Raw genomic sequence first — 26,192 nt, 5'->3', positions numbered from 1 at the left:
CAAATGCAGATCCTTATAGTTACTAAGACAGAATTATGATTTCAATTCCAAGTATCCTATCAGTAATCAAAGCTGAAAAACTAATCACAAGATGGGGAATCCTAGCCTCCATCATCATGAACTAATCCCAGCAGATATTTCCCACTATTTCACACCAGGCAAAGCACAGTTAGACCATAACTTGCCATTCTGTGAATGTGAGAAGATGCTCCAAGCTTTCAAAGACAGGTCTCCAAGTAGCAGTGCTTTCGTGACATGCCTTCAAATCGCAGAAAATCTTTCTTTACATAAAGGCAAATTTGTTATATTGAACACTGCTCACTTCTTACCAGAAGTTCAAGGAAGGGAGAGATCTTGAATGAATTACTAAGTAATTAGGAAATTGCCCTGCATCAATTTTATTCATTAAGTCCAGCCACATTTTTCATCTAAATCTATCTAGAATCGAATCCTTTTCTATCTCCACTGTTACTGTCCTCACACAGATAATTCTCAATTCTTACTTGTACTGCTTTAATGTTCCTTATTATAATTTGTTATAAGTATACACACACACACATACACACACGTCTGTTTCCTCACTAAAGCTATAAGTCCCTGATAGAAAGCACCTTATCACATCTTATTAAAAATGTAATATAATATAGTGCAGCAAGGATTTGAGAGGATTCTGGAAAGATGGCAGAGTAGTAAGCACCAGGAACCAGCTAGACAACAATTGCACTGGCAGAATCTGTCTGATGAAAGCATTTTGGAATTCTGGAGTCTATTGAAGGCTTGCAACTTCCAGGGGAAGGCTTGGACAGTAAATTATGATTAATTTCAGTCAATTTTAGCTCTTAGCACAGCAGCAGCTATCCATCTCCCACTTCCAGCCCCATGACAGACACATGTGCAAATGTTCTTGGAACAGCTTGCACATAACTTGCAGGAGCCAGGGTAGGCAAAAAGAACCTTGTTCTCCAAATATCAGGATCTGTGCTCTGATTGTCGCTTCTTATCACAGAGGTACCAAAAGGCAGGTGACCATTATTGTTGCACCTCCCCACATTGCAACTCCCCCTCAGCTGAAGTGACATCCAGGGAATTTAAAGGGCCAGCATCCTTTCTTCCCTCCTCTTCATCTTTCTCTTTTCCCCCCTTTGGGACCAGACATTAAGAACTAAGATTTAAAAGCAACTACATATGTGAGGAAAATTAGAAAGTGACCACACAAGCCCAGGGAAAGGTGCAGATCCAGAAAAGACCTGAGAAGACCGTAAGTTTACATCTCAGGCTGATCCTTGACACACAGATAGCTACAGCAATTTTTTAAAAAATCAGAAAACCCTAGGGAAGGGAGAAAATCTGATTTCCAGAGTTACTATATTATTCTATTCAAATGTTCAGTTTTCAACAACAGCAAAAAAAATCACAAAGCATACAGAGAAACAGGAAACTATGGCTCATTCAAAGGAAAATAATAAATCAATAGAAAACTATCCCTGAAGAAGATTTGATGGCAGGTCTCTGAGACAAAGACATTACAACAACTGTCTTACAGATGCTCAGAGAACTAAAGAAAGATGTGAAGAAAATCAAGAAAACAATGTCTGAACAAAATGGAAATATCAATAAAGAGATAGAAAGCCTAGAAAGAAACAAACAACAACAAAAAAAGAAATTCTGGAGCTGAAAATTAAAATGACTGAAATGAAAAATTCACTACAGTGATTCAAAAGCAAATATGAGCAGGCAAAAAAAAAATCAACAAGCATGAAAACAGGACCACAGAAATTACTGAGGCTGAGATACAGAAAGAAAAATGATCGAAGAAAAGTGAACAGAGTCTAAGGGACCTGTGGGATAACAATAAGCAGAGCAACATATGCACTGTGGAGATCTAGAATGAAAAGAATGTACTTAAACATCAATAACAGAAGTAAAACTGTAAAGTTCACAAAATTGTGGAATTTAAACAACACACTCTTAAATAACCAATGGTCCAAAGAAGAAATCATGAGGAAAACTGGAAAATACTTAGAAATGAATGAAAATGAAAACACAACATATCAAAACTTATGAGATGCAGTGGAAGCAGTGCTAAGGGGGAAATTTATAGCTATAAATGCTTACATTAAGAAACAAGAAAGATCTCAAATCGACAACCTAACTTTACTACTTAAGAAACTAGAAAATAAAAAGCTAAACTGAAAGCTAGCAGAAGGAAGGGGGAAAAAAGATTAGAGAAGAGATAAACAAAATAAAGACTAAAAAAAAAAAAAGAAAGTAAGTAGAGGAAATCAATGAAACCAAAAGTTGGTTCTTTGAAAAGACCAACAAAATTGACAAACTTTTAGCTAGATAGGCAAGAAAAAAAGAAACTCAAATTACTAATATCAAAAGAGAAAGTGGGGATATTAGTACCAGTTCCACAGGGGGAAAAAAGGGATTGTAAGAGTACTATGAACAATTGTACCGACAAATTGAATGCCCTCGATGAAACAGACAATTCCCTAGAAACATAAAACCTACCAGGACTAACTAACAAATTAGTTAAAAAAAAGGAAAAGATCTATAACTAGTAAACAGATTGACTCAGTAATCAAAAACCTTTCAACAAGAGAAGCCTAGGACCAAATGGCTTCACTGATAAATTCTACCAAACATTTAAAGAAGAATTAACATTAGTCCTCCTCAAACTCTTCCAAAAAAATTGAAAAGGGAACACTTCCAAATAAATTTTATGAGGCCAGCATTATCCTGTTACTAAAGCCAGACAAATGTATCACAAGAAAAGAAAACTATAGGTCAATATCCCCAGTGAATATAGACCCAAAAATCCTCAACAAAATACAAGCAACTGAATTCAACAGCACAATAAAATGACCAAACACCATAACTAAGTGGGTTTACCCCAGGATGCAAGGAGAGCTCAACATACAAAAGCCAATTTATGTGATACACCACAGTAACAGAATGAAGGCTAAAAATCACATGATCATCTCGATACACGCATACAAGCATTTGATTAAATTTAATACTGCTTCCTAATTTAAAACTCTCAACAAACTAGGAATAGAAGGAAATCACCCTAACACAATAAAGGTCATATATATGAAAGGCCCGGAGCATATATCTTACTCAATGGTGAAAGAATGAAAGCTTTCTCTTTATGATCAGGAACAAGGCAAACCTGACTCCTTTCACCACTTGCATTCAACATAGTACTGGAAGGCCTAGCAAAGGAAATTAGGCAAGAAAAAGAAAAGGCACTCAGATTGGAAAAGAAGAAGTGAAATTATCTTTCTTTGCAGATGATATGCTCTTACATGTAGAAAACCCTAAAGATTCCACACAAAATACTGTAAGAAATAATAAATGAATTCAGCAAAGTAGGAGGCCACAAAGTCAACACAAAAAAATCAGTTACATTTCCATACCCTAACAATAAATGATATGAAAAGCAAATTACAAAAACAATTCCATTTAAATAGCATCAAAAAGAATAAAATACCTAGGCATTAAATTAACCAAGGAGGTGGAAACATTTGTATAATGGATACTACAAAACATTGCTGAAAGACATTAAAAACATGAAGAAATGGAAACATATCTCATGTTAATGGATTAGAAGACTTAATATTCTTAAGATGTCAATACCACTCAAGGCAATCTACAGAGTCGATGCACTCCCTATCAAAATCCCAATGAAATTCTTTGCAGAAATAGCAAAATCTGGCCGCGCGCGGTGGCTCATGCCTGTAATCCCAGCACTTTGAGAGGCCAAGGCAGGTGGATCACCTGAGGTTGGGAGTTCAAGACCAGCCTGACCAACATGGAGAAACCCCGTCTCTACTAAAAGTACAAAATTAGCCGGGCTTGGTGGTGCATGCCTGTAGTCCCACCTACTTGGGAGGCTGAGGCAGGAGAATCACTTGAACCCAGCAGACCGAGGTTGCAGTGAGCTGAGATCACGCCATTGTACTCCAGCCTGGGAAACACAGCGAGACTCTGTCTCTAAAAAAACAAAGCAAAATCCATCTTAAAACTCATATATAATCTCAAGGGACTGGAAATACCCAAAACAAGATTGAAAAAAGGAGAACAAAGTTGGAGGACTCATTCATCCTGATTTCAAAACTTACTACTAAGCTACAGTATTCAAAACAGTGTGTACTGGCATAAAGACAGATATAGAGACCAATAGAACAGAATAGAGAGCTCAGAAGTAAAGCATCAGATAATGGTCAAATGAGTTTTGACAAGGATGTCAACACCATTTAATGGGGAAAAAATACGTCTTTTCAACAAACAGTGCTAGGAGAACTGCATGTCCACATGCAAAAGAATGAAGTTGAAGAAGTTCACTGAAGAAAGAATGAAGAACACTATGTACACAAATTAAATCAAAATGGATCAAGGACCTAATGTAAGACCAAAAATTATAAAATTTTTAGAAGAAAACACAGGGTGAAAGCTTTACAACCCTGGATTTGGCAAAGATTTGTGGAATTTGACACAACAGGCACAGGCAACAAAAGAAAAAAACAGACAAATTGAACTTCCTGATAATTTTTAAATTGTGTGCATCAAAGGACACTATGAACAGAGTAAAAAGGCAACCCACAGAACAGGAGAAAATACTTGCAAATCATGTATCTGTTAAGGGATTTATATCCAGAATATATAGAAAACTTCTAAAACTCAATGACAACAAAATGCCTGATTTAAAAAATGGGCAAAGGACTTAAATCAACATTCTCCAAAAAACAAACAAACCAATAAGCACATATAAAGATGCTCAACATCACTAATCATTAGGGAAATGCAAATCAAACCTACAATGAGATACTACCTCCTACCCATTAGAACGGCTACTTAAAAAAACAAGCAAACAAACAAACAAACAAAAAACAGATAATCACAAGTGTTGGCAGGAAGATCTACCAAGCAAATGGAAGATGGAGAAATTAGGATCTTTGCTCTGTTGGTGGAAATGTAAAATAGTACAACAGTGTAGAAAACATTATGGTAGCTCCTCAAGAAATTAAAAATAGAATCACCAGGTATGTGGTCAATTTTGGAATAGGTGTGGTGTGGTGCTGAAAAAAATGTATATTCTGTTGATTTCGGGTGGAGAGTTCTGTAGATGTCTATTAGGTCCACTTGGTGCAGAGCCGAGTTCAATTCCTGGGTATACTTGTTGACTTTCTGTCTCGTTGATCTGTCCAATGTTGACAGTGGGGTGTTAAAGTCTCCCATTATTAATGTGTAGGAGTCTAAGTCTCTTTGTAGGTCGCTCAGGACTTGCTTTATGAATCTGGGTGCTCCTGTATTGGGTGCATATATATTTAGGATACCTAGCTCTTCTTGTTGAATTGATCCCTTTACCATTATGTAATGGCCTTCTTTGTCTCTTTTGATCTTTGTTGGTTTAAAGTCTGTTTTATCAGAGACTAGAATTGCAACCCCTGCCTCTTTTTGTTTTCCATTTGCTTGGTAGATCTTCCTCCATCCTTTTATTTTGAGCCTATGTGTGTCTCTGCACGTGAGATGGCTTTCCTGAATACAGCACACTGATGGGTCTTGACTCTTTATCCAATTTACCAGTCTGTGTCTTTTAATTGGAGCATTTGGTCCATTTACATTTAAGGTTAATATTGTTATGTGTGAATTTGATCCTGTCATTATGATGTTAGCTGGTTATTTTGCTCATTAGTTCATGCAGTGTCTTCCTAGTCTCGATGGTCTTTACATTTTGGCATGATTTTGCAGCGGCTGGTATCGGTTGTTCCTTTCCATGTTTAGCGCTTCCTTCAGGAGCTCTTTTAGGGCAGGTCTGGTGGTGACAAAATCTCTCAGCATTTGCTTGTCTGTTAAGGATTTTATTTCTCCTTCACTTATGAAGCTTAGTTTGGCTGGATATGAAATTCTGGGTTGAAAATTCTTTTCTTTCAGAATGTTGAATATTGGCACCCACTCTCTTCTGGCTTGTAGAGTTTCTGCCAAGACATCTGCTGTTAGTCTGATGGGCTTCTCTTGTGGGTAACCCGACCTTTCTCTCTGGCTGCCCTTAACATTTTTTCCTTCATTTCAACTTTGGTGAATCAGACAATTATGTGTCTTGGAGTTGCTCTTCTCGAGGAGTATCTTTGTGGTGTTCTCTGTATTTCCTGAATTTGAATGTTGGCCTGCCTTGCTAGATTGGGGAAGTTCTCCTGGATGATATCCTGCAGAGTGTTTCCAACTTGGTTCCATTCTCCCCGTCACTTTCAGGTACACCAATCAGACGTAGATTTGGTCTTTTCACATAGTCCCATATTTCTTGGAGGCTTTGCTCATTTCTTTTTATTCTTTTTCGTCTAAACTTCCCTTCTCGCTTCATTTCATTCACTTCATCTTCCATCGCTGATACTCCTTCATGCTAAAAACTCTCAATAAATTAACTATTGATGGGACGTATCTCAAAATAATAAGAGCTATCTATGACAAACCCACAGCCAATATCATACTGAATGGGCAAAAACTGGAAGCATTCCATTTGAAAACTGGCACAAGACAGGGATGCCCTCTCTCACCACTCCTATTCAACATAGTGTTAGAAGTTCTGGCCAGGGCAATTAGGCAGGAGAAGGAAATAAAGGGTATTCAATTAGGAAAAGAGGAAGTCAAATTGTCCCTGTTTGCAGACGACATGATTGTATATCTAGAAAACCCCATCGTCTCAGCCCAAAATCTCCTTAAGCTGATAAGCGACTTCAGCAAAGTCTCTGGATACAAAATCAATGTGCAAAAATCACAAGCATTCTTATACACCAATAACAGACAGACAGACATCCAAATCATGAGTGAACTCCCATTCACAATTGCTTCAAAGAGAATAAAATACCTAGGATGTGAAGGACCTCTTCAAGGAGAAGTACAAACCACTGCTCAATGAAATAAAAGAGGATACAAGCAAATGGAAGAACATTCCATGCTCATGTGTAGGAAGAATCAATATCGTGAAAATGGCCATACTGCCCAAGGTAATTTAGAGATTCAATGCCATACCCATCAAGCTACTAATGACTTTCTTCACAGAATTGGAAAAAACTACTTTAAAGTTCATATGGAACCAAAAAAAGCCCGAATCGCCAAGTCAATCCCAAGCCAAAAAAACAAAGCTGGAGGCATCATGCTACCTGACTTCAAACTATACTACAAGGCTACAGTAACCAAAACAGCATGGTACTGGTACCAAAACTGAGATATAGATCAATGGAACAGAACAGAGCCCTCAGAAATAATGCCACATATCTACAACTATCTGATCTTTGACAAACCTGAGAAAAACAAGCAATGGGGAAAGGATTCCCTATTTAATAAATGGTGCTGGGAAAACTGGCTAGCCATATGTAGAAAGCTGAAACTGGATCCCTTCCTTACACCTTACACTAAAATCAATTCGAGATGGATTAAAGACTTAAATGTTAGACCTAAAACCATAAAAACCAGAGAAGAAAACCTAGGCATTACCATTCAGGACATAGGCATGGGCAAGGACTTCATGTCTAAAACACCAAAAGCAATGGCAACCAAAGCCAAAATTGACAAATGGGATCTAATTAAACTAAAGAGCTTCTGCACAGCAAAAGAAACTACCATCAGAGTGAACAGGCAACCCACAAAATGGGAGAAAATCTTCGCAACCTACTCATCTGACAAAGGGCTAATATCCAGAATCTACAATGAACTCAAACAAATTTAAAAGAAAAAAACAACCCCATCAAAAAGGGGGCGAAGGACATGAACAGACACTACTCAAAAGAAGACATTTATGCAGCCAAAAAACACATGAAAAAATGCTCACCATCACTGGCCATCAGAGCAATGCAAATCAAAACCACAATGAGATATCATCTCACACCAGTTAGAATGGCAATCATTAAAAAGTCAGGAAACAACAGGTGCTGGAGAGGATGTGGAGAAATAGGAACACTTTTACACTGTTGGTGGGACTGTAAACTAGTTCTACCATTGTGGAAGTCAGTGTGGTGATTCCTCAGGGATCTAGAACTAGAAATACCATCTGACCCAGCCATCCCATTACTGGGTATATACCCAAAGGACTATAAATCATGCTGCTATAAAGACACATGCACACCTATGTTTATTGCGGCATTATTCACAATAGCAAAGACTTGGAACCAACCCAAATGTCCAACAACGATAGACTGGATTAAGAAAATGTGGCACATATGCACCATGGAATACTATGCAGCCATAAAAAATGATGAGTTCATGTCCTTTGTAGGGACATGGATGAAATTAGAAATCATCATTCTCAGTAAACTATCGCAAGAACAAAAAACCAAACACCACATATTCTCACTCATAGGTGGGAATTGAACAATGAGAACACATGGACACAGGAAGGGGAACATCACACTGTGGGGACTGTTGTGGGGTGGGGGCAGCGGGGAGGGATAGCATTGGGAGATATACCCAATGCTAGATGATGAGTTAGTGGGTGCAGCGCACCAGCATGGCACATGTATACATATGTAACTAACCTGCACATTGTGCACATGTACTCTAAAACCTAAATAATAATAAATTAAAAAAAAATAAAAAAATTAAAAAAAATATGGAAGCATACTTGTATGCCCATTATGAACCACTGGGAAAAAAAAATAGAATCACCAAATGATCCAGTAATTTCACTTCTGGGTATAACCCTGAAAGAATTGAAAGTAGGGTCTTGAAGAGATATTTGTATACCCACATTCGTAGGAACATTATTCACAATTGCTAAAACAAGGAAGTAACCCATGTCCATCAATGGATGACTGAATAAGCAGAATGTGCTATATACATACAATGGAATATTATTCAGCCCTACAAAAGAAGGAAATGCTGATATATGCTACTATGCTACAACATGTATTAACCTTGAGGACATTATGCTAAGTGAAATAGGCCATGCACGAAAAGACAAATACTGTAGAATTCTACTTATATGAAATACTTAGAGTCGTCAAAATAATAGAGAAAAAATAGAATGGTGATTGCCAGGATCTAGGGAGATGGGGGAAATGGGAAATTACTGTTTAATGGGTATACAAGTAGGGTATTTTAAAAGTGTATTTAGTGATGTCATAACATAAGCTTTTATCCATAAATTCCACAAACACCCTATAAGTTTTTAACGTCTATGAATGTTAAGGTCTCAGAATTTCTATGATATATATGCAACTATAATTTTCTAATAAATATATGTAGAAAGGGTTTATAACAATGGTGACACACATCACTTGTTCTTCCATTATCCAAATTCATATTATAGGTATTTGTTGTCTTTCTAAAATCCCAACTTAGTTTGACTTGTTAGAATCATGTTTTTTAGTTTCTAAATGAATGTAATTTTATTATCACAGATTCTTATGATACAATAAAACTGAGACAGATTAAAATGCTAATTGTACAACCTAAACAACAAAACCCTGTAATTCAGAAAAAAAGTGTTTATATATAAAAGTGCTATCTCCCCGTCATCAATAAGTCAAGCATTTAACAACATATCTTGAAACCTAACTAAACAACATTTACTTAGGCAGAGGTACAAAAATGCCCATCAAAAGGCATCTAATTCAAAACTATAAGAATTCTAGCTTTGTAGTATAGTTTGAAGTCAGGTAGTGTGATGCCTCCAGCTTTGTTCTTTTGGCTTAGGATTGACTTGGCGATGCAGGCTCTCTTTTGGTTCCATATGAACTTTAAAGTATTTTTTTCCAATTCTGTGAAGAAAGTCATTGGTAGCTTGATGGGGATGGCATTGAATGTAGAAATTACCTTGGGCAGTATGGCCATTTTCACGATATTGATTCTTCCTACCCATGAGCATGGAATGTTCTTCCATTTGTTTGTATCCTGTTTTATTTTGTTGAGCAGTGGTTTGTAGTTCTACTTGAAGAGGTCCTTCACGTCCCTTGTAAGGTGGATTCTTAGGTATTTTATTCTCTTTGAAGCAATTGTGAATGGGAGTTCACTCATGATTCGGCTCTCTGTTTGTCTGTTATTGGTGTATAAGAACGCTTGTGATTTTTGCACATTGATTTTGTATCCTGAGACTTTGCTGAAGTTGCTTATCAGCTTAAGGAGATTTTGGCTACAGTAACCAAAACAGCATGGTACTGGTACCAAAACTGAGATATAGATCAATGGAACAGAACAGAGCCCTCAGAAATAATGCCATATATCTACAACTATCTGATCTTTGACAAACCTGAGAAAAACAAGCAATGGGGAAAGGATTCCCTATTTAATAAATGATGCTGGGAAAACTGGCTAGCCATATGTAGAAAGCTGAAACTGGATCCCTTCCTTACACCTTATACTAAAATCAATTCAAGATGGATTAAAGACTTAAACGATAGACCTAAAACCATAAAAACCAGAGAAGAAAACCTAGGCATTACCATTCAGGACATAGGCATGGGCAAGGACTTCATGTCTAAAACACCAAAAGCAATGGCAACCAAAGGCAAAATTGACAAATGGGATCTAATTAAACTAAAGAGCTTCTGCACAGCAAAAGAAACTACCATCAGAGTGAACAGGCAACCCACAAAATGGGAGAAAATCTTCGCAACCTACACATCTGACAAAGGGCTAATATCCAGAATCTACAATGAACTCAAACAAATTTACAAGAAAAAAACAAACAACCCCATCAAAAAGGGGGTGAAGGACATGAACAGACACTACTCAAAAGAAGACATTTATGCAGCCAAAAAACACATGAAAAAATGCTCACCATCACTGGCCATCAGAGCAATGCAAATCAAAACCACAGTGAGATATCATCTCACACCAGTTAGAATGGCAATCATTAAAAAGTCAGGAAACAACAGGTGCTGGAGAGGATGTGGAGAAATAGGAACACTTTTACACTGTTGGTGGGACTGTAAACTAGTTCTACCATTGTGGAAGTCAGTGTGGCGATTCCTCAGGGATCTAGAACTAGAAATACCATCTGACCCAGCCATCCCATTACTGGGTATATACCCAAAGGACTATAAATCATGCTGCTATAAAGACACATGCACACCTATGTTTATTGCGGCATTATTCACAATAGCAAAGACTTGGAACCAACCCAAATGTCCAACAACGATAGACTGGATTAAGAAAATGTGGCACATATACACCATGGAATACTATGCAGCCATAAAAAATGATGAGTTCATGTCCTTTGTAGGGACATGGATGAAATTGGAAATCATCATTCTCAGTAAACTATCACAAGAACAAAAAACCAAACACCGCATATTCTCACTCATAGGTGGGAATTGAACAATGAGAACACATGGACACAGGAAGGGGAACATCACACTCTGGGGACTGTTGTGGGGTGGGCGGGGGAGAGGGATAGCATTGGGAGATATACCTAATGCTAGATGACGAGTTAGTGGGTGCAGCGCACCAGCATGGCACATGTATACATATGTAACTAACCTGCATATTGTGCACATGTACCCTAAAACTTAAAGTATAATGATAAAAAAGAAAGAAAGAAAGAAAGAAAGAAAGAAAGAAAGAAAGAAAGAAAGAAAAAAGAAAGAAAAAGAATTCTAACCCAACTACCATGCTCTGCCTAGAATAAAGGAGTTACTTTGTGGCCTTGGTAGTTCCTTCCTACTTTGAAAACAAGTAAAAATTATGTCTATCCTCAATTGATTATAACATAAAGGAAATGGCATTAACAATAATAACAGGAACCTTACAGGCATCCTTTCATTTAAACCCGCATGCCTAGCTACTATGAATGGGCTCTTGAGCTGAACTGCCTGTGTTCAAATATTTGCTTCAATACGTAATAAGCAATACAGCATAATAAGAGTTCATAAAAATAATATATCCCCATAAGAGTGTTGTAAGTATTGAATACATTAACACATTTAAGGCCCTGACAATGTCTCACACATGGAAAGTATTAGATAAATGTTAGCTAATCCTTCTCCTCCTCCCCATCCTTTCCTTTTACAGCATTTTAGCAACCCTCTGGCTCAAAAACTATATATCGACAAGTCCTCTTCTGTTTCATGTTCACAGATTATGCCTTTACCTGAAAGATACTTTCCAGTGGTCACAAGAAGGCTTCAATAATTAAGTGTAGATGACTTTGGCCAAAAAGAAAAGCAATAGCCACAGTGGTTTACAAAAAGCCAGCACTCTCAGCTCTTTGGTTTAATAACTAGATGATGCTGAGAAAATCCCCCAACTTTTCTGAATCTTACAAATATCACGTTTATCACAAAAAAACCTGTAAGGGTATGTATATGGGTATATTTCAAAAATTGTAAAGAACTGCAGAAAGAAATAAAAACATCAACATTACTGCAAAAGAAAAAACAACACATAGTTTAACCTTACTCTCTTACAGGCTAGTGGCATCCTGTTTCGGTTCACATAGTTCTCCCTGCCTGGAATTCCTTGTTCAAGCCCTATCATTCCTTCAAAATCAAGCTCAAATACAACTTCTTAAAAATATTCCCTAACCATCTCATTTCAATAAATTTATCTTTTCAAACCCCATGAGCATTTATCACCTTATTGCACTACAGGAGTCTATCCTGACTCACCAACTGATTATAAGTTCCATCAAATCAGCAACTCTTCATTATGCCTTTTTGTATTCAATCCATGTGCAGATACAACTACCTTGCCTGCATAAAAGATGGGAAGAGAAAGAGCTCTAAAAGATTTTAGAACTCTTCAAAAGGGAAGATAATTTATTGATTGATTCAATAAACCTTCGTTGGGCACTTGGCAATGAGTCAGGTACAGTGTGGGTGCTGCTAAGGCTATAAGGTTAAATAATACACAATGTCTGACTTCGAGATCCCAAGCTTTGCAAAATCAAAAATATACTTAGACCTGCATCTGGTTCTAAATATACAAGTATTAATTCATTGCTATTATATGTTTAATTGTTAAATTATTTCATATCAATAACCTGATCTTTTTAAACATACAATGTTCCCACCATTTGCAGAAATAAAAGCAAGCACAATTTCTTATCATCCTGTCTAATGTACCCTATATGTGTCTCATAAGTTCTAAATCATAAATAAGTGTTTTTTTCTGGCACAGATCTAAAGAAAAAGTCTTTTGACATTTCCTTTTAAATATCTCTGCTCTTCTCATCCTTAAACTGATGAAAATACCACACTGCCACCATGCGAACTAGGATCACTGAATTAAATATATCAGTGACAATAAAGACAAAGCTGTTAACAATGCTGAGAAACACACATGTAATATAGAACCATTCTTATGTTGCCACAAACTTGATACGAAACACAAAATCTTCAAAGGGAAAAGTAACATCAAACAAAGCTGACAAGACAGCCAGCAGTTTAACTCAGGACCCATCTCCTTATACGGCTTGGTTTGGGTTCAGCAGTTAAAGCTCAGAGTTCAGAGCTATTCTCAGGTGGGCTGACATTCTTACCATCTGCCTCCTGAATTGCTTTGTTTCTTTTTCTTTTTTTTAAACTTACCATTCTACATTGCTATTAATATTGTAGGAGCATTTGGTCATAGTTTAAAATTTCTATAATACCCTATATCTTTCTCTATATTTCTTCTGGGAAAGCACAATAATTCAGTATTTTCTTCTTAAGGATATGGAATGTCAACACATAAGGACAATCTGTTGCAGAAATTATGATTCCTACTAAACTCAAAAACATATCCCAAAGCACTCTCTTTACCTGAACTTAGAACTTAAAAGAATATTTCTTCCATTCTTTGCATTATTTTTCAGCGCTACAGATTGTCTACTAGTATATTCCTCACCATTATTACTTATTTATTGTACTCCAGTAGTATGCTAGGCACTGAATAAGGTAAAAACAAGACACAATTCCTGATCTCAGGTGAACAATTCAAATACAACCCACACAACAGCAATTTCTCTCCTTTCCTTTCTCCTTCCCTTAAGAAAGGGGCAGGGAGACCACAGAAATATGACATTTTCAGTAATAATCTGACATACCAGACGACCTTATTAATAAAGAAATTCCGGACCCATAGAGACAGAAGACCAATTACAGCCATTGCTTTTTGATATCTGAACTTCCAAATAGGCTTATGAACTTTAACTTGATCCACATAATTTGGAATTTATAATGGAATTTTTAGCAAACTATTTGTTATCTACCAGTATTAGGTATCGTAGTGACATCTAGGAATAGAGCAATCTCCTACTCACATAGCACTTCTAGAATAGGATTAGTCAACTAAAAATCAATTGTAATATGATACAATTAATGTTATAATTATACAAGAGGATGTTTGGGGAGAGACTTGGGATTTAAAACTTGGGAAAAAATCAAGTAGGTGAAAGGCTGAAAATACTATTCCAAGCAAGAAATCAGCATATACATAAAGGCTCATGGGGGAGAGCATGGTATATTTAAAAAGAAAAAGAATTCAAATGTGGCTGAACATGTTAAAAAGCAATGTGGTCAATGTGTGCTTTTTTAAATAATAAAAACTGAATGTAAGTAAAAACAAACCAATTTAAAAAAACAATAGATAGGTAACCCTTTTAACTGGTAACCTTATGTTAGTTCTTTGCATTTTATGCTTAAAAATGAATTGTCTTCTTTTATATAATATTGAGTATGTTGTTTCTAAATGGCTAGTTAAAAGAGAGCATTTCAGGCTGCTACTGTCTAGCACTTCTTTCAAATTATATATTGTAGCACTTGATTTTCAATAAATGTACAGCCAATCTAAATAAAGTTATCACAATTCTCTCTTCTTAACACTGGCTTTGAAACATTAAAAATATCAAGCGTTGGTATAAGAATTTTGATCAGATGAATGGAACTTGTGGATCTGTTGAAGACTGAGGTAAATTTCCCTAATTATCTTTTTTAAGATTCCTTATTATCACTGAATTTCAAACTCAGTGTTTTTTTTAAGGTTTCCTATCTATTCAATGGTATATTATGGGTGCAAATTAAATGTGAATAACAATAAAAACAAGTTTAAACTGAAAATGGTTAAGATTACAATAGTGTCCAGAAGTGTTAAACAAAGTAATAAGTTAACCAAGTATTGAATCGCTACCGGCGAGCTCCATTAACCAATACACTAACTTTCTATGCATTCCTGACTGCCAAATATTCAATTTCAAAGGTGAAAAACTTTAAATATTTAAATACTCATTTTGTTTGTTATTCTAAAAAATAGAAACTGAAACATATGCTATTACTGTTGTTAATGATCTGAATCCTCTGCAATAGTCTGCCGGCTGGGTGAGGTAACACTTAGGTGGCACAAGGCCCTGAGAGGGACACCTTTAAGTGGCATGGAAGGCTATGACAGAAATAATAATAATAAAGTGAATGAGAAAACACTTGTTTAGTACCAGAAGGCACCTTAGAGATTATCTAGTCCAATCTCCACCTTTTACAGTCGTGGGAACTACCAGAGAGGTTAATCACCCAAGATCATATAGCTAATGTTGGCAGGGCAAAGATTAACTTCTTAACGCTATGTTTTGTTTTTTGAACCTAGTGAGATAGGGTCTCACTAGGTTGCCCTTGGTTGTTCTTGAACTCTCAGACTCAAGTAATTCTCCTGATCTTCCTGAGTAGCTGGGACTAGAGGCAAGGTCTTAGCTCTTGACTCCACAGTCCAGTTTGCTTTCCACCACACAAAATTAGGAGCATATCCCTTCAATTTCTCTGTACCTCAAAAATAAAGGGGAGAAATATTGAGGAGATAAAGCTATAGTAACAGTGAATATGTATAACTTCTGGTGAGGGAGATGGAGAGAGAAAATTGTTTATTGTACTCAAATAGTACAAGATGTTTGATGATAGATAGTACCTTTTTATATCCTTGTTGGTTCCCACATTTGGTCTGCAAGTTTGACTTTGTGCAAAGGGACCGAACCCTTATTTCCATTAAGAAATTATTGTGTATATCCTTCCTTATGTGGGAAGTTGAGAAGTCAAGTCAGTTACCAGTGTAACTGGTAATTTCCTGGAAAATTCCCTTCAATCATTGAAAAAGAGAAATGACCTTAAATGACTTGCAGCTTAATTAGATAAGATTCTGAGTTCTACAGGTAGATCAAATACTATGGGTGGGAAATCCATGCTTCAGTATATTACTATGAAAAGTCTTTATTCATTAAGTTTATAAAGGTCAAATACAAAATATAGACTGTAAAACATGTATTTACATATATTTCATTATTTCAAAGATAATTTTACACTCTTAGCAAAATTATGTGTATTGCTTTTATCCACTAAACAAATGATATAAAGTTGTATGGCATCAATAATCAAGATCTGTACCAAGTAGTGCCAAAAAGAGTGTACGCATTGAGTAAAGCAAAAGTATTTTTGTTGGAAGAAACAAAAACAAGTCTTAAATTTTCAGGCTTTCAAGCAGTCATGAAACAAATAAAATAATTTTACAAAGTGTAGAAGTTATCATGAAATTATCCATCCCTTTTCATTATTTTTTGCCTTGAGTATGTAATTGATACTTTATGACATACTTAACTACTTTTTTAACAGATCATTTGTTCCGGGGTGTCTCAAATAACTACTTATTTAACAGATCAGTTATTCCAGGGTGGACTACCGCTTCCAAATTTTTAAGCAGCAGAATGCATTTATTACATGAAATCTTATTTCAAAATTTAATTTCTAAATGACATAAAAGTAAAGTTATTCTGCTCGGGGAAGTGGTGGAAGTAAAAATTCTGTTCTCTAGGCTTCTCCCACTCCCAGCCTGAGGTATCCATATGAGATAGAGATAAACAAGACTGTGAGACTTATTTAATGGCTGCTTCTAATAAATAACTACCCTATACTTTTTCATGCACTTTTGTTATTGAAATGGTGACCAATTTAAACTCTTTTGAATCACTGCTAAGAAGCATTATATATACCTGATGTCCTTTATTGCAGTGCCATTAAGGAAACAAACTATGTGATTATAAAAGTTGAATTGTTTCAATAATCTGACTTCAAATATTCTGCAGGGTTTTCTTTTCTTTTTTTTACCTGTGTAGGATAAATACCATATTTCTACAACTGAAGGATTCTGTATGCAAATAAATATGAATCAGGATATATAAGTACATGAACTAAGATATTAAAAAGTGATTACTCCATAGCCAAAATAGTATAATACCATGAAATAGTGAGAATATTTATATCTATATGGATATTATCTATTTAGACACAGTATATAGATATAAATAGGTGTAGACATAATTCTTCAAAACTCCTTCTTGGGCCATTTTCTTTTCTCAAAAAAAAAAAGGTTATATTATCAAGAAGAGGCAAAACCAGCTAGGGTGTACATAATTATAATCATAAGAATCTATAATATTAATGTTATTTAATAAAAGATCGTGAAAAATTAAGTCATAAGTCACCACAAAATGATATATCAAAGCAATCATTTTATCATGAAAAAATTAAATAAAATCTATTGTGTATACTATCCATATGGCATTATTTTTTCAAACAAATTCATATTTTTAGTTAGAACTAATCAAAAATAAAGTGGTAGAGACTAGAAAAATAAAGTCCTGTAACCTTAGCTGGCCCCTTACATTCTGGAAGAGTATCTTTCCAGTTGGTGTCAGGCAAACATGGAGAACAAAAGAATATCCAAAAGAATAAGCTGAATTCAGATTCTATCAAAGTATGCCCTAAGCCAAAGTTCTGGGAAAGACAGCTATTTCTTCCCAATTTCTCAGCTAACATAGAATCTTAAGAACAAATGCAATATATCCAAACTTCAAACCAGTCTAACATGGAAGGATGTACACTTTCAATTCTCTGTGCATAAAGTAACTTCAAAAGGAAAGAGAAAGATCCTTTTGTTCTAGGTAAAAGGCCTTAACCATAGACCCAGTGAATTTGTGAGTCTTTATATACAGTCATTTTTTAAAAGAAAAAAAAATTAGGATTTTTTTTCGTAGAAAACTGTAAAACTTTTATTTAAGCTTAAATGCTCTTCTCTATTAATAGTGTATGCACAGAGTAAGGCACACTCCATGTAAACTTGGTCATTCTTAATTTTTCCCCACTATTTCATAACCTGGAATTCATTTTCAAAAAGAAAATCTATTCCCATCTTTAGTTTAGAGCACGGGTTTTGGACACACAGATAATGGTTCCAGTCTAGACCCAAACAGCATGGTATTGAGCAAATTACATATTCTCTCTGGGACTGAGATTCCTCATCTGCAAGGTGAGGAAATAACATTTCCCTCATAAGACTGGTATAAAGATTAAATTAAATAATAGATGAGGTAGATACCAGTGTAAAGTGTCTCTTCAGTATCTGGCAATCAGGTGTTACTGATATTATTTAGATTACGGGATTACTAATTTGTTCTCTATTTTGAATCAGTTGCTCATCTTTCTCTTTCAAGACGTACATACTATATTACCAACCCATCTCTTCACCCATCCATTCCTCACAATTAATTATCTATGTATTAACTCTTAACTTGGACAAAAGCTTCCTTGTCCATACATGATTCACAGTGACAGAGTTAAATACTCAATGAGTTTACCCAGTAGAAAAAGATGTGCCTTGACCACCCACATCACTGTATTTAACGTCTTGGGTGTGGGAGATTTCCTTTTAAAGAAATCATTTAGCTCTCTCTCTTAGGTATTAAGCTTGGCATAAATTCAGCATTTTCAAGCAAAACTTTATTCCAAAATTATAATGAGAATTATGACTCTTTATGTTTGTTGTTCAACTCCCCAGTGTGCTTTTTTAGTAATGACTTTTAAAATAATGTCTACTTTAAAACTGCTGACAAAAAAGTATTCATAGTATATAAGGGGGATTTTAGACATCTAAAATACAATGGAATTGGAACTCCTTACAATACATAGTTATATTTATACCAGTGACAATTGTATAGAAAATTCTAAAGTATTGGAATCATCTAATTATTACAACTTTTACTTCCCTGGAAGGTGTAAATACATGAGTCTAATAAGCTTTTTTCTCACTATGAAAAAATTTACTTATATTAAAATATTAAAAACTGTTTAATGAGGTTCATTTCCTTCCAAAAGTAAACTGAGGTTGTCTCTGAACCAGCTTGAGGCAAAGGAAGTTTCAAACACAACATTTTTTAAACTAGCCATTATTTCCCATGTTGAAAAAAATTGCAATTTTATTTCCTAACAGCAAATGAAACTGTCAGGAAAATTTAGGTGTAATAAAATTGGGCGGTTAAACCAACATGCTGGATTTGAAATAAAACTGAATTAAAGGAATTAAAATTAATTCTTATGTCAGTCAACTCTTTAAAAATACTATTCAAAACTTACTGTTTTTACAAACAGCACTTCCTTGTTCTTGATAAAGTGCAAAGTTAACTATCCCTTTAATGTCCACTAATGGTGCTGCAGTTGAAATTGTGCACTGAGCAATATTTTGCATAAAATGTGTTGCTTCTGGCAATCTTTCCACCTAAAAAAAAAGTTGTCAAACAGGGTGACTTTAGTGGTACAGAGTTTTAAAATGATGGATTCAGTCCAAGGTTAGCTAATAACGGCTGACATGCCCTGGAATCTTGAGGCCTAAATCAACATTGTTTTCACAGCTGTAATTAAGCCACCTAATCAGAAGCACATTTTGACGGGACAGTTTCTGGAAGCCAGACATTACAATTTCTTATGCCTGGAGCGCAGTGGCTCATGAGAGGTCCTCGTTTAATTTCAGGTTAAGGGGAGGTGGGGAGGCAGTATAATAAAAAAGACTATTTTTTCAAGCAACATACAACTGTTGAAATGCAGCAGGCCCAAGTGTTCATGCCTTGACCAGCCTTGCATCCCACCCTCCTCTCGCTCTCTGCTGAGTCCCCTCAACTCTCAAGTGGCAGCTGCACACAATGAGATGAAGGGTCTCTGCCAAGATCAACAGATGAGCTGGTCTGAACTGGCTCTCTGTGTGTTCTGATTGTAAATTGTGCTGGTGATGATTAGAGAACTCTAACACAGGATGTCAACTCTTAAAACTGTCCAGAGAAAATAATTTCTTTAAGTTCAGGAAAAAATTTTTGACTTTTTTTTTGTGGCTTGGTGCATAGTGTCGTGTCTATAACTTTCATATGATTCAAATGAATTCACCCAAATTAAGCAACTCTGTTATTAAGAAAGAAAAAAGAAAAGAAGGCAGTGGCTTGGCTTCTAGCAGGGACCTTCATCTGGGTCTGTTTATATAACAGTGCTGCAAAGCATAGTCCTCCACTGGAACACTAGTCTTGTGCTTCTACCACCTGCCAACAGTACCTATTCATAAAATGATGAGAATCTAGAATGTGACAGTCACATCTTATCAAGTAACTATGTTGATGACTTTCAAACAGCTAAATTGCCAGCCTAAGTTGTTTTCTGCAATGTTGTTACATTCTGTAACATTTAAACTTTCAACCCCAGAGGCCATTGTAAAACTATCAATATGAAGGCACTAGTCACTGGAGTCTGATTACATTTAGTTCTGCATTTTAATTACATATGGATTCTATTAACTAAGGCTTTTGCCTTATAGGCAACATTTTAATCAAATTACTATAATTTTCAAATATGTTACAACAGTCTGATGAGTTAAAAGTTCACATTCCTAACATATTAAGTATCAAAAAATGTTGCATAAAAAAAGGAAATACTCCTTACAAATACGCTAATACATTTTTTTATTACTTTGGGGATTTATTGACTACCTAGTTACAAGTCACATTGTGAGACTCACATAACTGGTATACATTTGTAAATGACTTACATTTATATTATATGCTAATATAACCAAATTCAACATATAATTTTATTATAAATTTAGAAACACACTTAATCTATTGTTGTAAACTGACACAGGAACAAGACAAAACATAGTTAGACTCTTGGATTCAAAATCAGTATTTGTAACTTCAATTGAAGAATTTTAAAGCTGACAGGGAATTTAGATTTCATCAAATAGCAACCCTTCATTTTACAGCCAGGAAAACCAAGACCCAGGGAGATAGCACAATTTATTTCCCAAAGCTTTGAGGTGAGTCAATAGTAAAGTTTGCTCTAGAACTCAAATTTCCTCTGAGTCTCTGTCATGCTCTTTCCACTACAACATATTGCCATCCTGTGTAAGCAACAATCTACCTGCCTATCCTACACCACCCAAGAACTCAAAGAAATATTTTTAATGAGATAAAATACACACAAAATTTACTAGTTTTGCAATTTTAAAGTGTACAATTCAATGGCATCAGGAACATTCACAACATTGTGCCACCATCACCACCATGTAGTTCCAGAACCTTTTCATCACCCCAGAATGAAATTCCATATGCGTTAAGCAGTCATTCTCCATCCTCTCCTCCCCCTAGCCTCTGTCAATCACTAATGTGCTTTCTTGTCTCCATGGATTTGCCTATTCTGGATATTTCATATAAAATGGAATCATACAAATGTGGCCTTTTGTGTCTGGCTTCTTTCACTTAGCATAACGATTTCACAGTGCATCCATGTTGTAACACGTATCAGTGCTTCTTCCCTTCTTATTGCTGAATTTTATTATTCGTCCATGGTTTGGCTGTATGGCATTTACCTATTCATCAACTGATGGACTTTGGGTTGTTTGTACCTTTTGGCTTTGTAAATAGTGCTGCTATAGACATTTGTATACAAGTATTTATTTGTATGAATACCTGTTTACAATTCTTTTGGGTATATATGCAGGAGTAAATTTGCTGGGTCATATGGTAACTCCAAGTTTAACTTATTGAGGAATCATTTTCCACAGTGGTTTACCACTTTACATTCCCACCAGCAATGTATAGGGGTTCCAGTTTCTCCATATCCTTGCAATGCTTGTTATCTTCCTTTAATTATGACCATCCTAGTGGGTGTAAAGTGGCATCTCACTGTGGTTTTGATTTGCATTTCCTTTTCTTTTTTCCTTTTCTTTCTTTTCTTTTCTTTTTTTTTTTTTTTTGAGACAGGGTCTCACACTGTTGCCCAGGCTGGAGTGCAGTGGCATGATCATAGCTCACTGCAGCCTTCAATTCCTGGGCTCAAGCAGTCCTCTCACCTTGGCCTCTCATGTAGTCAGGAATACAAGCACATGCCAACACGCCCAGTTAATCTTTTTTAGTTTTTGTAGAGATGAGGTCTCACTATAGTACCCAGGGTGGTCTCCCTGGCCTCAAGTGATCCTCCTGCCTCAGCCTCCCAAAGCATTTGCATATCTTCTATGGAGAATTAGCTGTTCAAGTCCTCTGTGATTTTTTAAAAATTAGATTGTCTTTTTGTTGTTGAGTTGTAAGAGTTCTTTGCATAGTATGGATATCAGGGATTAATCAGATATATAATTATAAATATTTTCCCCCATTCTATGGGTTGTCTTTTCACTGTCTTGATAGAGTCTTTCCATGCTTTTAATTTTGAAGAAGCCCAATTTATTATTTTTCTTTTGTCACTTATCCTTTTGGTGTCATATCTAAGAATCCATAAGAATCCACTGCCAAATCCAAGCTCATGAAGATTTATTGGTATGCATTTTACTAAGCATTTTATAGTTTTAGATCTCTTATGTAGGTTTTTAATCCATTTTGACTTAATTTTTGTATATAGTGCAAGGTAAAGGTTAAAGAAAATTAAGAGGGACATTTTAAATTTTCTGAGACAAATGAGAATGGAAACATATCGTACCAAAATCTATGAGACACAGCAAAAGCCATTCTTGCAGGGAAGCTTATAGCACCTACATTAAAAAAGAAGAAAGATTTCTAATAAACAACCTAATGATACACCTCCAGGAACTAGAAAAATAAGAACAAACTAAGCCCAGAATTGGTAGAAGGATGGAAATAATTTTTAAAAGTAGAGACTAAGAAAAATAATTTAAAAGATTAATAAACTGAAGCATTCGTTTTTTGGAAAAGTAAACAAAATTGACAAACCTTTAGCAAGACTAAGAAAAAGAAAGAAAAAATAAATAATATCAGAGATTAAAAAGAAGACATCACAATTGATACCACAGAAATATAAAGGATCATAACCTTCCAAGATTAAATTACGAAGAAATAGAAAATCTGAACAGACCAAAAACAAGTGAGGAAATTGAACATCTTAATTAAACATCTTCCATCAAAGAAAAGTTCAGGACCTGATGGCTTTACTGCTGAAATCTATCTAACATTCAAAGAAGAAGAAATAAAAATTCTACTCAAACTATTCCAGCAAATTGAAAAGGAGAAAATACTTTTAAATTCAGTTTATGAGGTCAGCATTATCCTGACTCCAAAATTGCACAAGGACACACAGACAAAAAAAACTACAGGCCAATATCCCTGATGAACATAGAGGCAAACTTTCTCAACAAGATACTATCAAACCAAACTCAACAGCACATTAAACAGATTATTCACTGTGATCAAGTGGAATTCATCATGGGGATGCAAGGATGGTTTAATATACACAAATCCATAACTGTGATATACCACATTAACATAAAGACAAAATATGATCATTTCAATAGACACAGAAAAAGGATGACAAAATTCAAAATCTATCATGATAAAAGCTCTCAACAAGTGAGGAATAGAAGGTATGTACCTCAAAACAATAAAGGCCTATGGGAAACCCATAACTAACATCATATTGCATGGGGAGAAGACGTTTTTCCCCTAAAATCAGGAAGAAAACAAGGACATCCACATTCGCCACTTCTATTCAACATAGTACTGGAAGTCCTAGCCAGAGCAATTATGCAAGAGAAAGAAACAAAAGGTATCTAAATTGGAAAGGAGGATGTCAAGTTGTCTCTGTTTGCAGAAAGCATAATCTTATACATAGAAAACCCCAAAAACTGCACCAAAAAAACTTTTACAAGTAATAAATGAATTCAGTAAAGTTGCAGGATATAATATCAATATAAGAAATCAGCAGCATTTTAATATTCAAATAGTCAACTATCTGAAAAAGAAATAAAGAAAACAATTCCGTTTACAATAGCTATAAAAAAGTAAGATATCTATGAAGCAACGTAACCAAAGATGTGAAAAATCTCTATACTGAACACTATAACATTTTAATAAAATAAAGTGAAGAGGATACAAATAAATGAAAAGATATCCCATGTTCATGGATTGGAAGAATTAATATTGTTAAAATGGCCATACTGCCCAAAGTGATCTATAGATGTAATGCAGTCCCTATCAAAAGACCAATGACATTCTTCACAGAAATGGAAAAAAAAGTGCTAAAATTCATGTGAGACCACATACACACACAAAAACCCTGAATAGCCAAAACAATCCTGAGCAAATGAAACAAAGCCACAGGCATCATACTACCTGACTTCAAAATATACTGCAAAGCTATAGTAAGCAAAACAGCACGGTACTGGCATAAAAACAGACACATAAACCAATGCAACAGAACAGAGAACCCAGAAATAAAGTCATACACCTAAGGTGCTAAGCACACACATTGGGGAGAGGACAATCTCTTCAATAAATAGTATTGGGAAAACTAAATATCCACATGTAAAAGAATGGCATTAGACCCCCTACCTCTTACCATATCCAAAAATCAACTCAAAATAGGTAATAGACTTAAATGTAAAATGCAAAGCTATGATAACACTAGAAGAAAACATAGGAGAAATGCTTCATGATATTGGGTTGGGGAAGAATTTTTTGAGTAAGACCTCAAAAACACAGGCAACAAAAACAAAAATGGACAAATGTGATTACATCAAACTAAACAGCTTTTGCACAGCAAAGGAAATGATGGACAGAGTAAAGAGACAACCTACAGAATGGCAGAAAATATAGGTAAACTATACACCTCTCAAAGGGTTAATATCCAGAATATATAAGGAACTCAAACAACTCAACAGCAAAAAAAAAAAAAAAAAAAAAAGAAAGAAAGAAAGAAAGAAAGACCCCAATTTAAAAATAGGCAAAAGACCTGAATAGACAGTTCTCAAAAGAAGACATACAAGTAGATAACAGGCATATGAAAAAATGCTCAACATCACTAATCATCAGGGAAATGCAAATCAAAACCACAATGAGATATCACCTCATTTCAGTTAGAATCATTATTACCAAAAAGGCAAAAGAAAACAAATGTTGGTAAGGATGTGGAGAAAAAGGGAACATTTACACACTGTTGGTAGGGTTGTAAAGTAGTACAGCTATTAATGGAAAACGGTATGGAGTTTCCTCAAAATGTTAAAAATAGAACTACAATATGACCCAGAAATACCACTACTGGGTATATATCCAAAGGAAATGGAATCAGTAGGTCAAAGAGATAGCTGCACTCCAATGTTTATTGCATGGATGTGACTATGGTTAACAGTAAAATGTTGTATATTAGAAAATAGCTAGAAGAGAGGCTTTGAATGTTCTCACCACAAATAAATGATAAATGCATGAGATTATGGATACACTAACTACCCTGACTGGATCATTATACAACATAAATATGCATCAAAACATCAAATTATACCCCAGATATATGTGCAATTATAATGTGTCAGTTCAAAACATAATTTTTAAAAAAGAATTTTATAGTTTTAGCTCTTATAAATAGGTCTTTGATTCATTTTTAGTTAATTTCTGTATATAGTGTGAGGGAAGACTTCAAGGAAACACATTTTTGAAAACAAACTTTCTACTGATTTATGTAAATTAGACCTCTATTTCTGAAATAACATAAAGTCTTACTTTTTGCTAGGCCTAAGTAGAGTTCATTTTAACTCAGTATATCGTCACTAACAAACACTTACTGAGTATATACCATGTAAGTAAAAGGTATTATGATGGTAATTTTATGTCTATGTATGTCCACCTCTACATAAACACCCAGAGGTAGGGGTGCCAAAATATCTGAGAAAATCATTTAAGTGGTATGTTGAAAAGAATGTTCTTCTTTGTCACAAATAATTCTGTGTTGTCTTTTTTTTTTAGGAAAAGTAGTGAGAAGAAACATCCAATGTATATTATTTAAAAGTATTTACTTAAAATTTTACCATATATAGAATATGTAAATTATTCTACTCATTTTCATTAAGTGCTAATACAGAATAATATAAAACAGTTTGATGGAAATTAAAGAAAATTTGGTGTGGGAAAAATTCGGAGGGAA

The 26,192-nt window shown here is 35.2% G+C and overlaps 1 protein-coding gene across 29 annotated transcripts in view; it reads right to left on the bottom strand.

The window, feature by feature from the left end:
- Positions 1 to 26,192, bottom strand: part of CCDC171 (coiled-coil domain containing 171) — a 556,042-nt gene that overhangs the window by 152,511 nt on the left and 377,339 nt on the right. Inside the window, exon 26 of one of the 29 annotated variants that reach the window (XM_017014431.3) lies at positions 19,368 to 19,509. The exons of the other annotated variants lie outside the window; for them this stretch is intronic. Coding sequence (XP_016869920.1) covers positions 19,368 to 19,509 — 142 coding nt within the window. The remainder of the gene's footprint in view (positions 1 to 19,367; positions 19,510 to 26,192) is intronic. 29 annotated transcript variants of the gene reach the window in all.

Source organism: Homo sapiens, chromosome 9 (genome assembly GCF_000001405.40).
Source record: "Homo sapiens chromosome 9, GRCh38.p14 Primary Assembly".
Classification (NCBI taxonomy): Eukaryota; Metazoa; Chordata; class Mammalia; order Primates; family Hominidae; genus Homo; species Homo sapiens.
This window is presented reverse-complemented; position numbering and strand designations above follow the sequence as displayed.